General features: G+C 42.3%; 1 pseudogene, besides 1 other annotated feature; it reads right to left on the reverse strand.

The window, feature by feature from the left end:
- RPL9P14 (ribosomal protein L9 pseudogene 14) lies at positions 1,554-2,236 on the reverse strand (annotated as a pseudogene).
- Positions 4,454-4,513: an enhancer, noted in NCBI's record as "active region_17049". NCBI's record gives its function as "activates an Ori minimal core promoter by ATAC-STARR-seq in GM12878 lymphoblastoid cells {active_cell/tissue: GM12878}" and the evidence as "EXISTENCE:reporter gene assay evidence [ECO:0000049][PMID:35858748]".

Genomic DNA, 15,744 nt, shown 5'->3' on the forward strand with positions numbered 1-15,744 from the left:
TTGCTGGGGGCAGTGGCTCACACCTGTAATCCCAACACTTTGGGAGACCAAGGCAGGAGGATCACTTGAGCCCAGGAATTAGAGACCAGCCTGAGCAACATAGCGAGACTCCATCTCTACAAAAAATAACAAATTAAAAAATTAGCCAGGTGTGGTGGCACAAGATTCCAGCTACTCAGGAGGCTGATGCAGGAGGATCACTTGAGCCCAGGAGTTGGACACTGCAGTGAGCTATGATCATACCACTGCACTCCAGCCTGAGCAACAGATTGAGATCTTGTCAAACAAACAAAACAAACAAACAAAAAACCCTAAAACTAGAATGAAACAAAACCTAGAAGACGATCTAGTCCAATTGTTAATCCCCAGCTGCTTTCTTACTCCAGCCTGAGCAACAGAGTGAGATCCTGTCTTAAAAAACAAAAACAAAAAAACACCCAAAACTAGAATGAAATGAAACCTAGAAGATTATCTAGTCCAATTATTAATCCACAGCCACTTTCTTACTCCAATACTTTTTTGTTTGTTTGTTTTTTTAGACGGAGTCTAGCCCTGTTGCCCAGGCTAGAGTGCATTCAGTGGCGTGATCTCAGCTCACTGCAACCTCTGCCTCCTGGGTTCAAGCTATTCTCCTGCTTCAGCTTCCCGAGTAGCTGGGATTACAGGCGCCTGCCACCATGCCCAGCTAATTTTTTGTATTTTTAGTAGAGACAGGGTTTCACCGTGTTGGCCAGGCTGGTCTCGAACTCCTGACCTCATGATCTGCCCCCCACTCTGCTTCCCAAAGTGCTGGGATTACAAGCGTGAGCCACCACGCCCGGCCTCCAATACTTTTAACGGCCTCCTATTGCCAGAAGGAGTTCAGACTTCATGGCTTGACCTTGAGGCTCTCTACATTATTGGCTCCCTCCTACATGTGGGGACATCTCTGTTTTTCTGCACTCAGCATTCCTACTTCCTTTGGGAACTTCCCCTACCTGTAAGACACAGGGTAAGTATGTGATCAATGCTAAGCCAGTTCTACTATTCACAGTACCCTAGTCTCTTGGCTATAGCAGTTGAGCCAGGGTGGGCATGTGACCCACCCAATCAGAGTCCTTCCCTGGAATTTTTATCTCTGAAGCTGTGGAAGGAGCCTTGCCTATTGGGATACAGGACTGGAAGGATGTGAATTGGAGGCCCCTGATGGCCATCTTTCCCACCATGTGAGAATGCCTGTCTGCAGAACAAGGGAAGGAGGGTGACAGGAGAGAGGAGAGTAACACCAAGGGAGGGATGAAGATTTTGTGTGAGGGGAGTTGGAAGGTGTGGTGGGAGAGTAAGAGCAAATGACCTTGCTTGAGTCCCAGGATCTCCTCAGGCTTGGAGCTTAACCTCACCTCCTAGACCCTATAGTTCTATTATCAATTAATCCCATGTTATCTCAAGGGAGTTTGTGTTGGTTTCTGACATTTACAACTGCAAGTGTCTTGACTGACACTTCACCTTTCCAGACTTATCTCCCACATACCCCTTTCTTCCCATTTTATAGTTCAGACACCTATTTTTTCCCAAAATCAAAGGTCTTTTATTGCATCATTTAAATATCACAAATAGGTCTTAGGAGTCTTCCAGCATCTTGTTTCTGTAGCTGGACAACTCTTAGATCTTCAGCCTGCTGAACTGTTCCTTTTTCAGAGACATAGGTACCATCCAAAATTTTTCTGATATCCTTGTTTTTAACTGTTGTGGCTTGCTGAATCGAAGCAGCTGAATTTGAAACAAGCTGAATGTTGTTTCCTTCAAGGATTAATTCATCTTTCTGGGCTTGAGATACCAAACAAGCAACACCTGACCTCCTCCAAACCCTGGGGATGTATTTTTCACCGAAGAAATTTCAGATTTCAATAAGAGACCCATTCTCCTGGATAACAACGTTGACGGGGAAGTGAGCAGACACAGACCTCATCTTGTAACAGAAGCCCAGTGTAACATCCTTGATCATGTTCTGTGTGTGACTATAAATAGTCTGAACGGTAGCCAGTTCCTTTTTGTTACCTCACTATTTGTCAACCCGGAGCCTCTTTCTTCCTAAGAAGGCTGAGTTCTACATTGATGTGACTGAAGTCCCTCCACAGGCCTCCTCTGGGGCCCTTCACGATAACTGTGCGTCCCTTCAGAGTGATGTCGACATTTTCTGGAATGTCAACAGTCTGGTTGCTGAGAATGGTCTTCATTCTTGCAGTAGATGTGGCAACAACAACAAGAAAGCCTGTTTTTTTTTTTTTAACCCACTCCTGGAAACTCTTCTTTTCCAACTTTAGGTTCCCCATTTTTAATTAATTAATTGATTTTTTTCCCAGCTTTATTGAGGTTAATTGACAAATACAAAATTTCCCCCATCATATCCCCTTCAGCATCCCTGGCAGGGCAGGCACCCTATCTTGTTCATCTTTGCATTTTCCTCCACAAGTATTATGGTACTTAGAAAATGATCTCAAAAAATGTTAAACATCATATGAGGAAGTGCCATTACTATATACTTTCATTAAGTATTTTCCTTTTAGCCTTCATTTACTAAAGTAATGCTCAAACCAGGATTCAAAAAAACAATGCTGTCTTCCAAGAAACAAAACAAAAACCTCATCAAAAGTGTTTTAAACTTAATCAGAACATTTTTAGTGCTATTTATAGCTTAAAATTTGCAAGCCAAGTATACCTCACCCATCTCCCAAAATAAGCCCAAGTAAAAATGATTAGGATATTTATTAAGACCAACATAGTGTAATTACTGTTCTTTGTCTCTTTAGGTAAATTAAAAGCATAGGGGATGTCAAATATTGAAGTCACAAATAGAGTTATTCCTTGAAAGTATAAATGAACCTGCTGTTCAGCTGGAAGGCACCCACAAGGACATACCTGCTGTTAAAATATTGAAACAGTTCCATATGGGTTGGTAACTAGCTTCAGTCTCTAAGCACTCTAAGTATCTTAAGGTCTCTTTACAAGAAACCTCCCACATCCTAAGATCCAGCACACAAAAGATTAATATCTGACCCTATTTTGCTGAAATGGTGGGTATTTCAGCCCATCTTTCATTAATGTAAGAGCAAAATGGCCCTGCTCTTACATTAGGGCCAAGATTCTTTTTTTTGGGTGGGGGGGAACGGAGTCTCACTCCGTTGCCCAGGCTGGATGCAGTGGCGCAATCTCGGCTCACTGCAACCTCCACCTCCTGGGTTCAAGCGATTCTCCTGCCTCAGCCTCCCAAATAGCTGGGATTAAAGGTGCATACCACCACACCCAGCTCATTTTTGTATTTTTAGTAGAGACGGGGTTTCACTGTGTTGGCCAGGCTGGTCTTGAACTCCTGACCTCAGGGGATCCACCTGCCTCAGCCTCCCAAAGTGCTGGGATTACAGGCGTGAACCACTGTGCGTGGCCTAGGATTCTTTTTGATTAGTTGATGGCCAGGCCATATATGTCTTTAACTCTTTTGACTATCACTTCTACAAATAAGTTAACAGAAAAAAAGCGAAAAGCCATTAGCAAAGCTAACTATTCAATGATTTCCCACCCCACCACCAACTACCAAGGCTTTTTAAACTAGAAAGATCAAGAATAAGTGATAGAATTTACAGAAGACGTTAATAGAGCAATTTGAATGTGGTCATTCAACAAGCATTTACTGGCTGGGTGCAGTGGCTCATGCCTGTAATCCCAGCACTTTGGGAGACTGAGGTGGGCAGATCACGAGGTCAAGAGATCGAGATCATCCTGGCCAACATAGTGGAACCCCATCTCTACTAAAAATACAAAAATTAGCTGGGCGTGGTGGCGCGCACCTGTAGTCCCAGCTGCTCAGGAGGCTGAGGCAGAAGAATCACTTAAACCTGGGAGGCAGGGGTTGCAGTGAGCTGAGATCATGCCACTGCACTCCAGCCTGGCAACAGAGTGAGACTCCATCTGGAAAACAAAACAAAACAAAACAGAAAAAACAAGCATTTACTAAGGAATTCACTGTCCTCTAGGTATGAGGTTCATTGACTCTTGGTGGCTTGTATAATGGTCAGTACTATCCAGAGGCCTCCATTAACAGCTTAAAGATGAGTGAAACTGCCTTTGTGGTTTCAATTATGACAGTAAAAGAAATCTGACATAGTTGACTCCATCCTGCTTCTGACCTTCAAACTATCTTTGGTCATTTCTGGCCATAGGCCAAGATAACCTTGGGAGGGATTTTGTTTATAGTTTAACTTGAAAGCAAGCATGATAATAGTCCCTCCCTAAAACTAGCCCCCTCCTTGCTCAGGGACAGAAACCCGCCTTTGTAAGACTAATGAAAGACCACAGAATAGGATTATGGAAGGGGCTTGAACTCTGGTAAAATGTAGATGTAGTTTCTATAATCCTTTACTGCCAGGAGTAATGTGGCCAGGAGGCCACAAGATCTGTGACTTCCCCACTTGCTCCTATAGATAACACCACTGTTGTAGAAACGAATACTGGGTTTGTAGTTGTTTCAGACTGACCTCACCTGGATTTGTGACTCATAACTCAACTGGTCATATGGCCCCACCTAGAGGCGCACTGAGTGCACCAGGAGCTTTTTCCACACGTTGATGATTTCATCCCCAACCAATCAGCAGCATCCATTCCCTAGCCTCCTGTCCACTAAATTGTCCATAAAAACCTTAGTCTTCCAGCCTTTGGGGAGATTGATTGGAGTGATAACTCCAGTTCCTCTGCATGAGTCAGCCTCATGTCAATTAAACTCTTTCCCTACTGCAATGCCACAGTCTTAGTATATTGATTTTATCTGTGCAGTGGGCAGGAAGAAGCCATTGGGTGATTACAAGAGAATCGTCCAGAAAGTTAAAATATTATAAAAGAAAAACTGTCTCAGTCTTGATGTGGCTTCAGCATAGTTTTTATGTAGAACCAAGAACAGTGGTGTGCTGGTAAACTGACTCTGAAAAAGTAAAAGTTCTGATTTGTTAGAGTTTGCCGATTTTCACAATATAAAAATCCCTACCATGCCTAATTTCAAGCTCTGGATGTATCATCACAGAACACAGAATTGGAAATGCACATATTAAAGCCTTAAGAATCAGTAGAAGCTGGCTCCAGCACACCACTGACCCAGATGGCCAGGATTTTATATTCCCACATCCCTTAGTCATTGGATATGGGCCACTCTAGGGCAAGGTGGCTCTATGAACTTGAGACAGTCCCTAAGAAGAATGGCCACTGATGGTAATCTGCTGACAGCACTCCCGGAAGCTGGAGCAACAAGTCCTTTTTTGATGGGGGATCTGGGCAGTACATCACAGAGTCCACCGTACTTGTTATGGGAAACCAGTCATCTGCCTACTCAACTGTCAATCTAGTCACTTTTCACCTAAAAATGTTTTTCAACCTGGAACATATACTCTGAGACCTTTCACTTTTAGATGGTAGAGCTAATAGATACAAATTTGGAAAGATTTCCAGCAGTCCCAAACAGTAAACATCCAGGGAGGGATGAAGGCAAAGGAACGTCCAGAAGTCCAGAAAATCAGATGGAGCTGCTCAGATAGGCTTCTATAAAGAGGGAGGGTTTGAGCTTGACCTAAAGGATAAGTAGAGGTAGAAAAGCAGAGGAGATTGAATAGAAGCAGCATTGCACTGTGGTTAGAATCTTGTCTCTACCGCTTTTTAATTTTCAGGGATTGCACAAACTACTTTACTTCTCTGTGCCTCAGTTTATCCATAGGTAAAATGGGGATGATGATGACATAATAATAGTAATAATATTATCTACCTCAAAGTGTTGTTGAAATGAGTTAATTCACATTGAGATTTTTTTTTTTTTTTTTTTTTTTTGAGACCGGGTCTCGTTCTGTAACCCAGGTTGGAGTGCAGTGGCGTGATCTCGGCTTACTGCAACCTCCGCCTCCCAGGTTTAAGTGATTCTCCTGCCTCAGCCTCCTGAGTAGCTGGGATTACAGGCACCCACCACCATGCCCGGCTAATTTTTTGTATTTTTAGTAGAGATGGAGTTTCACCATGTTGGCCAGGCTGGTCTCGAATTTGTGACCTCAAGTGATCCGCCCACCTCAGCCTCCCAAAGTGTTGGGACTACAGGTGAGAGCCACCGCAACCAGCCCATATTGAGAGTTAATAACAGTGCTTAGTAATATTTGGCCTCTGACAAACAATCTGTTATTTCATGCAGCAAAATGGAGATATCATATTGCAGAGTAGTGCAAAAAATAAAAATAACAAAAAAGAATATACTGAACTTTAATCAGAAATGATGACCTATTTTCCCTTCTTACAAAATGTCCTACCAAGAGTGAATCTTTGGGTTGAACTTCCCTGGTAGCAGGGCATGGTGGCTCACACCTGTAATCCCAGCACTTAGGATGGCAGAGGCAGGAGGATAGCTTGAGTCTCAGAGTTTGAGATCTACCTGGGAAACATAGTGAGACCCCATTCTCCACAAAAAAATAAAAAAGGAAAAACAAAACAAACAAAAAAACCAAGTTGAACTGCCCTGGCAGCCAGAGTATAACAAAACTTTGACGTGTGCTCAAAACTAAACTGCCAGGAAAAATTCAAAGAGCGAAGTTTCACCTTGCCAGAACAGGTCCTTAATGGCAGGCACACCCCTGATAGTTACAAGGATTGGGGGAAGAAAACAAATGGGTGCCCTCAGATTCCCAGCCTAGGCCCTGTCCTGCACCACAAGGACCCACATGTGTATGCATACACCTCAGCGGCCATGTCCTAACTTCACCGACTGCTTCCCCAGATGAAGTCACTCCTCAGGCCTATGACGACATACTGACAGCTGGGTCAGCTCCCAGGATGACAAACCCTGGGAAAAAGGCCCATGCAGCCCGGAGGCAGGCTCTCAACTTTCAGGGCAGGGAATTCTGAAGCCCCATGTACCTGATCTAGAAGGAGGGGCCTCCAGGTTGCTACCTTCTAGGCCAAAGAGGCCAGAGGGGAGCCAGAGAACAGCTGATTGCCCAGGACTGATGGCAGTGCATGGAGGGTCTACTGGGGATCAACCCTTTTAATGCAATATTTTATCTTTTATATATGTGGGATTTTGATAAGGTACTTATGTCATAAGAGAGGCTTTGTTATACTAGAAAAAGCACTGGATTGAGAATCAGGACATTTGTGACTGGGTACGGTGGCTCATGCCTATAATCTCAACACTTTGGGAGGCCAAGCTAGGAGGATTGCTGAGGCCAGGAGTTCAAGACTGGCCTAGGCAATATAGCAAGACCCCATCTCTTTTTTTTTTTTTTTTTTTTTTTTGAGACCAAGTCTCACTCTGTTGTCCAGGCTGGAGTGCAGTGGTGTGATCTCTGCTCATTGCAACTTCCGCCTCCCGAATTCAAGTGATTCTCCTGCCTCAGCCTCTGGAGTAGATGGGATTACAGGCATATGCCACCAAGCCCAACTAATTTTTTGTATTTTTAGGAGAGACAGGGTTTCACCATGTTGGCCAGGTTGGTCTCGAGCTCCTGACCTCAAGTGATCCACCTGCCTCGGCCTCCCAAAGTGCTGGGATTACAGGCATGAACCACCCCGCCTGGCCCAGCAAGACCCCCATCTCTAAATAAAACATAAATAAATAAAAGAATCAGGACATCTGAATTAGAATCCTAGCCACAAAGTGTAGGATTAGGAATTATATTTACTACTCTTCACAATACCAAGCACAATGATGGTCTATAGGAAGATCTAATGAGCAATTTATATTTGTAATGTTGAAGACAATCAGGATTCAGAATTATACTTGGGTTTCAACAGTGATTTTTAAGGATTTGTTGTTATTTTGTTTTTTTGTTTTTCAGATAAAGGAATACTAGACATCAAAATGTTTATTAGGTGATGGACATATAGTCATCCTTCCAGTTTAAGATCTAAGAGCAATACTCAAACAGAAATCAAATAAATGTCTATGACAATTAAGGCAAACATACTCATTTGTCTACAAGCAAAGAGCATTTTGGAAAGAACACTCCCTTGTTCAAATTTTGGTGAACTGGTTGTGGAGACAAAAGTGACTCCATCTTGGATGCTAATCTGCCATGTTGACTTCTGATTAACCCCAGTCTGGGGAATGCCTCTAAGATTTCTATTTTTATCTATGTATACTGTCTGTAAATCCTGTTCTTAGGCCAAGACACCCTTGATGTTATCAAATCCTGCCCTTAGGCTATGACACACATAGCATTCTTCCCTTTTCCTGAGAGGTGGACTTCAATTGTCCTTATACATTCCTTCTAAAGCACATATACCCTTTCTCTGTGGTATATATCTGGGAGAAAACTGTGGAAATCTACCTGTCTGGCAGCTGCCCAAGACCATCCTTTTGTCCATAAGTTCCCCAGTAAATAACCCTCTACTGACAAACTGGATTTGTCTGCCTTGTTCTTTGGTTTCTTGGTTCCTTCTGCATTTGGGGGTTGGTTTGCGTATATGGCCCTTTCATGAAGCACACATCATGTCTTTTGTTTTTTTATTTTTAAGATACCAGGTCTTGCTCTGTTGCCCAGACTTGAGTGCAGTGGCGCAATCATAGCTCACTGCAGCCTTGAACTCCCACCTCAGCCTCCTGAATAGCTGGGACTACAGGATCAGGCCACTACACCTGGCTAATTTAAATTTGTCTTTCTCTTTTTTTACAAAGATAGGACGTTGCCCAGGCTAGTCTAAAACTCCTGGCCTTAAGTGACCCTCTTGCGTTAGCCTCCCAAAATGTTGGTACTATAGGCACGAGACACTGCACCTGGCCTGTTTTTTTGTTTTTTGTTTTTTTTTTATATCTTACCTAAGGTCCACTCCTATCTCTAACAGCCCCATCTCTTTTCTTTTCTTATGTGATCTAAAAATCTTCCCCCAACACTACACTGAGACCCAAATGAGCTTTTTTTTTTTTTTTGAGATGGAGTTTCACTCTTGTTGCTCAGGCCAAGATCATGCCACTGCACTCCAGCCTGGGTGACAGAGTGAGACCCTGTCTCAACAACAACAACAACAACTGCAGATCAAAGTTAAAGAAAGTAAGAACTAAATGGAGCATCTTTTTAGTTTTACCAAGTAGACTATTTCTTTGTCTAGGATGTCTTTCTAGAACCCAGAAACAGAAAATGGCTCTTTTATCCTGTTGGCTTCAATATAATCATTCTTCCTAGGAGGCATATGATGTGGGTGATGGGTGGGTATGTGGTGGGGAGAGGCCCTGTGATACTTAATGAGCTGCAAATAACTCACTCCCATGTATTTGTGTGAGTGGAGTCACCCTACCTACTTATGCTAGCCTGTTTTCACACTCAGTTGATTCAAAAACTGTTGAATCAGACCACTCTGGAGCTTCTGAAAAAGTCCTCCAGACAACGGTGGGCAAGAGCAGGTTGCAACCAGGTTCCATTTACGGCAGTGTTTCTGAATGTTGTTTTGTACATTTTTATTACAAAACAGTTCACGATCGAACTTATTCACACTTTCATGTTGGAGCACTCGATCCTTCCTAAATAAATTAATGTTGCCCCGTTTCCACATTCTGTGTCTGGGATATAACTTGTCTTCAAATATAAGTAAGCATTCTCATTATCAGAAAAAAGAGTTGCAAGGCATCAGGAGAGAGAGCCACAGAGGAAAATATTCCAAAGATCTTGGCATTCTTCCTATAACTTTTGTACCCTCAATCTTTTTCTTCCACATTTATGAAGCTTTTAAAACATTTTCCACCCTGAATGGCACACATTTACTGGGGTGACTTTACATTGTTTGCATTATTGTGGTTCTGGGACGTGAAGTTCTTAGAGGACAGGGGCATGTTTAGAATCACATCCTACAGAGAAGTGTTTAGTAAGTAGGAATGAGAAACATCGTCCGCAAGCATTTAAGGGAGTCTGTTTCCATTTTCAGTAAGGGCAGGTTGTCACTCAACAGGCAGATGACCCAATAGACACAGTGGTATGTTTGGTTCCTGGGAGGGATGGATGTGTAGAGAAAGGGAGGAAAAGAGGAAGAAAGCAACATTAAGCCTGATCCCTGCCATAAGCTGAGCTCCTCACCACACGCACATGCACGCACAGACACATACACACACACACACTCGCTCCTTGGCACGCAGACACACACAGAGCTTTGCTATTCTTCGGCTAATGGGATTGGCACCGCTTAAAGCAGACTGCTAGGTCATTGTCTGTGACCACAGCAAGAGAAACATTATTTAAAGACCATTCAGACCCTAAAAGAAGCGGCTGAGCAGAGTAATTATCGGAGACTCTCCATTAACTAGGGCATCTTTGCTCTTTGTCTGGGTTGGTTTAACAAGGCCCGCTAATGGGACTGTACAGGAGGGGTACACTAATGGTTCTAAAAAAGCCTCTTTTGGCCCCTTTATTACTGGGGACTGTCTTTAGAGATGCTGACAGTAAAGCAAGAAGTTACCATATTACAAAATGACCTTCCCAAAAATTTGATTTGGACCCTTGCAGCTTAGGACTCAGGTTTCCAAAATTAGAAAACATCTTTGTCTTCTCCACTTTTTAAAACTCTAAGTTGGTTCCCCGCTGCCCCCTGCCAACCCCCCGCTCCCCCGCCACTGTTCCTCTTACCTTACTTGGCCCTTTGGTTTCTTGGGAACTTGTCATTGGAAACAGCAGCACTCAGTGGTGATAAAGCAGAATGGCACTCCTGAGGAATTTCTCCTTGAGCTGGCTTCTCTACTCACTCTCCAGGACTCCACTTCTCTAGAAAAACTGCCTGTCCCATTATCACTTTTAAAATATGAAGCTAGAAGTCAATCACATGCTTACAAACCTAATACGGCCACCTAAATTAAAACTACTGTTCCATAATCAGTTAGCTTTATAACAAAGGCTTCAAATGCTTAGCTCTCCTAGAAGCTTGCATCACATACAGGGAACTCTTCTGTGCAGAGCTGTCTACCTCTCTTCATTTCCCCTCTCCCAACCCTAGACCAAGCTTCCATCTTCTCTCCTCTGGGTGACTGCAATTGTCCTGCAATCACCTCCTAGCAGCACTATTGGCCCTTTCAATCCATTAACTCTGCAACAGCCAACAGCCAGAGTAGCTCTTTCAAAACAGAAACCTGCTTAAGCATTTCAGTAGCTTCCTATTGCTCATAAGAATTCTTACTGTGATTTAAGAGACCCAGACATGGTCTGGTCCTTTTTTCCTCCCTAGCAACATCTTGTACCATGCTCCCCCTAGCGTCTGCTTCAGCCACTGCAGCCTTCTTCAATGCCATGAGCAATTCATGCTCATTCCTGCCACAGGGCCTTTGCATATCATTCTGTCTAGAACACTCTTTACCCGAGTAGTTTCCACTCATCCTTCAGCTCTCAGCTCAGTAGTCAGCCCTTCAGGAAAGTTGTCCCTTAGTGCCCCTTCTAGGTTGACGACGTCTATATCATGCAATTATAGCACCATATGCTCCTCTTCACAGCATTTACAGTAAACGTTTATACTTATCAGAATGCTTTTATGTTAATAATTACCTTGCTGTGAAACTGTAAGCTTCATGAGAATAACCACATGTTCCATAAGCAATAATTCTGCCTATTTTTGTTGTACCATCCTGTCCTCAGTGCCCAGTACAATGTTTGTGACCTGAGTGCTTAATAAATCTTTGTTGCATTGTGTATAGTGATTCAAAATACTGTACCCCGGCTCCTCCATGCCTGTTCGCAATTTTTTTTTTTTTTTAGATGGAGTCTTGCTCTGTCGCTCAAGTGATTCTCCTGCCTCAGCCTCCTGGGTAGCTGGGACTACAGGCACGTGCCACCACGCCTGGCTATTTTTTTTTCATTTTTTTTTTTTTTAGTAGAAATGGGGTTTCACCGTGTTAGCCAGGATGGCCTCAATCTCCTGACCTCATGATCTGCCCGCCTCAGTCTCCCAAAGTGTTGGGATTACAGGCGTGAGCCACTGCGCCTGGCCGCCTGTTTGCAATTTATCAACCAAAGTTTATTCCCTGAGAGGTTCCTATGTCCGGTATATTTGGGAACTACCTATATTCCATATTTTCTCAGATCAGCGTAAGGGGCCAGGTCTCTTTTCCTATGGGATTAAAGACTAATTTTCTAGTTTTAGGGGCAGAACTAGAAGCACATTCTCATTCCCCCTCTGAGAGCATCTTTACACAATAACAGACTCACAAGGCACAAGTAGACATACACAAGCTTTAGCGATGCCTCCTGTCTTCTCAAGACCCTGTGGGAAAGAGAACAGAGGGTCTATCCAAAGAAGAAGTTGAAGAATTAGAGTGTCTCAGCACTCCAGATATGCCAGCACAGAAATAGGTGGGTGGAATTGTTCCAATTATTTATGATCCCCAAGAAAACTGGGGACTTTCTCTACTGTTTAGAGAAGGAAGCATGGGCTTCAGTAGATGCAGAGTAACAGCATGGATTGGGTGTGTATTCTGTTGCCTTTAGCTGCCCTGGAGAGAAGGCCATCAGGCCATATACAGCCAGCTGAATGTACCATGACTCATACTGAATGGGATCAGGCATTCAGTGGGCTGACTGAAGCCGTGTATCCTATCACTCCTTTTAAAAATATAAAGCTATAAGCCCACAAGTTTGAGACCAGCCTGGGCAACATAGTGAGACCTCATCTCTACCAAAAACTTAAAAATTAGCGAGACGTGGTAGTGCACACCTGTATTCTCAGCTACTTGGGAGGCTGAGGTGGGAGGATTGTTTGAGCCCAGAAGGTCGAGGCTGCAAAGAACTGTGATTGCACCACTGCACTCCAGCCTGGGCAACAGGGTGAGACCCTGTCAAAAAAAAAAAAAAAAAGCTAGAAATTGATTGCATACGTGTATTTTATACTTAGTATGGCCACCTAGACCCAGACTGCTGTCTTATAATCAAGTTGCATCACTCAGCCTCAGGATTGCACCAATTTAGGGACAGTCTGGAGACCAAAGAAAAAGTCTTATTATAAAATTGTGTTTTCAGAAAATCTGAGGCCCATAGAGAATTGTCCTCCCAAGACAGGTGAACATAAAGCCACATGGTCACACCTCATGGGTTCCAGATGCATTCAAGTTCAGAGCCAGTGCCAGGAAATTTTCTAGAGCTGGTACTACTGGAAGAGACTGCTGCAAACACATAATCTTTACTGCATCTAAATTATGGAGAAAATGTGCAAACCTCCAAGCCTCAATTAACACGTATCCTATGGGCATCTCTTGGCACTCTTGTACTGCACAGGATAGAGGAGTGTGAAACAAGATTCCTGCCCTAATGAAAGAGATATGTGTTTCATAGAAACACATATCTAATGAACACAGTCTAATGTGTTCTAACACAGTCTAATGAAAGAGATATGTGTTTCATAGAATGAACAAAGCAACAGAATATACGTTCTAAATTATTGAGTTCTGGACCAGTGTCTCTAGAAGTGTGATCCACAACCTGCATGCGGCATCAACATCATTTGGGAATATTGTTTGAAATGCAAATGATTGTTTGAAATGCAAATGTTGGGTCACCCTATTGAATCAGAAGTTCTGGGGGTGGGGAAACAGGAGCATTAACAATCTCTCCAGGGGATTCCTATACACACTAAAGTTTGAAAGGCATTATAAAAATTGAGAAAAGAAGTGGTCGGAGTGGAATGAGAGCTGAAGGAAAAGTTTTTATACATATTTTCCATTTTAAAAAATAGAGATAAGGTCTCGCTATGTTGTCCAGGCTGGCCTTGAACTCCTGGTCTCAAGCAGTCGTCCCACCTCAGCCTCCCAAAGTGCTGAGATTACAGATGTGAGCCACCGTGTCTGGCCTCCCAGAATTATTAAAGCCAGTGGTAGACCAAGGGTAGGGCAGTGGGAACAATAATAAAATCAACTGAAAGTTGGGCCGTGCTGATCACCATGTGCCAGCAAACGTAAACAAGGTCAATGACAAAATATTCCTCCCTGAAAAAAATATTTGGCGTAAATCTGAACAATTGCTGAGGTTACTGAGTTTTAATAATGTGCATGTAAACTTCAACTTAGCACATTTTATTACTCATCCTTCAGCAAACCCAGTGTTCTACATGGAAGTAAATTACAAGAATTTCCAGTTATACATTCAGTTTCCAACACACGGGACTCAGCGATGCTGGCTCCTTATTTATTTATTTATTTATTTATTTATTTATTTATTTATTTATTTATTTATTTATTTTGAGACAGAGTCTTGCTGTCGCCCAGGCTGGAGTGCAGTGGTACAATCTCCGCTCACTGCAAGCTCCGCCTCCCAGGTTCACGCCATTCTCCTGCCTCAGCCTTCCGAGTTGCTGGGACTACAGGCGCCCGCCACTACGCCCGGCTAATTTTTTGTATTTTTAGTAGAGACGGGGTTTCACGGTGTTAGCCAGGATGGTCTCCTGACCTCGTGATCCGCCCGCCTTGGCCTCTCAAAGTGCAGGGATTACAGGCGTGAGCCACTGCGCCCGGCCTGCAGGCTCCTTTAAAAGTACCTTTATAATGGACCAGATGGTTCCAGCTCACTTTGGGGGCCTAGTTGTGATTTCAATCCTAGTGAAATGCCTGTGTTTAAACAGTAGATTTGAAATAATAGTGATTACAAAGAGAAAAAATAAGAATATGAGTTAACTTTAGTTCTGTCCTTTGTGACCTTTTGGGCTATTGATATTTGTAATATGAAACAGTGAAACAATGCAGACTACAAAGTGAATGTATTTGATTGGCAAAAATTTGATTACAAATTTTCATTTTTACGTGAAATATTGTACTGAATTTGAATAAAATCTTTACAATTGGAATTTATTCTTGTTTTTAACATGTTGGTCTTTCATAATTATTATCAAACTGTAATGCTATTATTCATTGCTGCAACCAACCAGTATGTAGGCACAAAGTTACAAGATTTTCCTTTTATGAGAAACAAAAACAAAATACGTCATTGTTATTAAAAAGCATTAATCCATATTTTCCTTTTTTGTAATGTAATAATTTTTACTAGAACAAAGTTTAATAAAATATTTTCACTTTCTGCTTTTCTTTTCTGAAAGATAAACTATTATTATTGTTGTTTTACTTAATGATTTTGTTTCTGAAATTGAGTTTGTTGTATAGAGAATAGGAATCTGCTGTGCCACTGGTTAAAACTATCTCCTTTTTTTTTTCCCTTTTTTTTGAGACAGAGTCTAGCTCTGTCATCTGAGCTGGAGTGCAGTGGCATGTTCTTGGCTCACCTCCCCAGCTCAAGTGATCCTCCCACCTCAGCCTCCCGAGTAGCTGGAGCTACAGATGCACGTCACCATGCTTAGTTAATTTTTGTATTAAAACTATCTCAATTTTAGTTGATAAGTACTGATCACCATGACTTACCAGTTTATTAGTTTGTTAGAGTCCATCTCATGTAATTTTTAATGAAGAGTACAGAGGTGGCTTCTTTCCAAGTGCTTTTGAATTGGAGGAGTCTTTATATTGCCTTTTCCTGAATAAAAATGTGGCTGAGTATTATTTCAACCTCATTTCTCAGCACTCTGTAAACATTGTTTCATTGCGTTCAGGTATTTCATGTGACACAAAAAGAGAAACTTGTGACAATATTAATTTTTTTCTTTGTTTTGGGATTTAATTTTTATAATGAGAAAATATGGTAGCTTTTTTTTTCTTAATTCTGTGGTTCAAAAATTTTGTTCAAATATGTCTAGGTGTACGTTTTTCTTGATTTTTTTTTTTTTTTTTGAGACAGGGTCTCA

This window comes from Homo sapiens, chromosome 2 (genome assembly GCF_000001405.40).
Source record: "Homo sapiens chromosome 2, GRCh38.p14 Primary Assembly".
In the NCBI taxonomy this organism is placed as follows: Eukaryota; Metazoa; Chordata; class Mammalia; order Primates; family Hominidae; genus Homo; species Homo sapiens.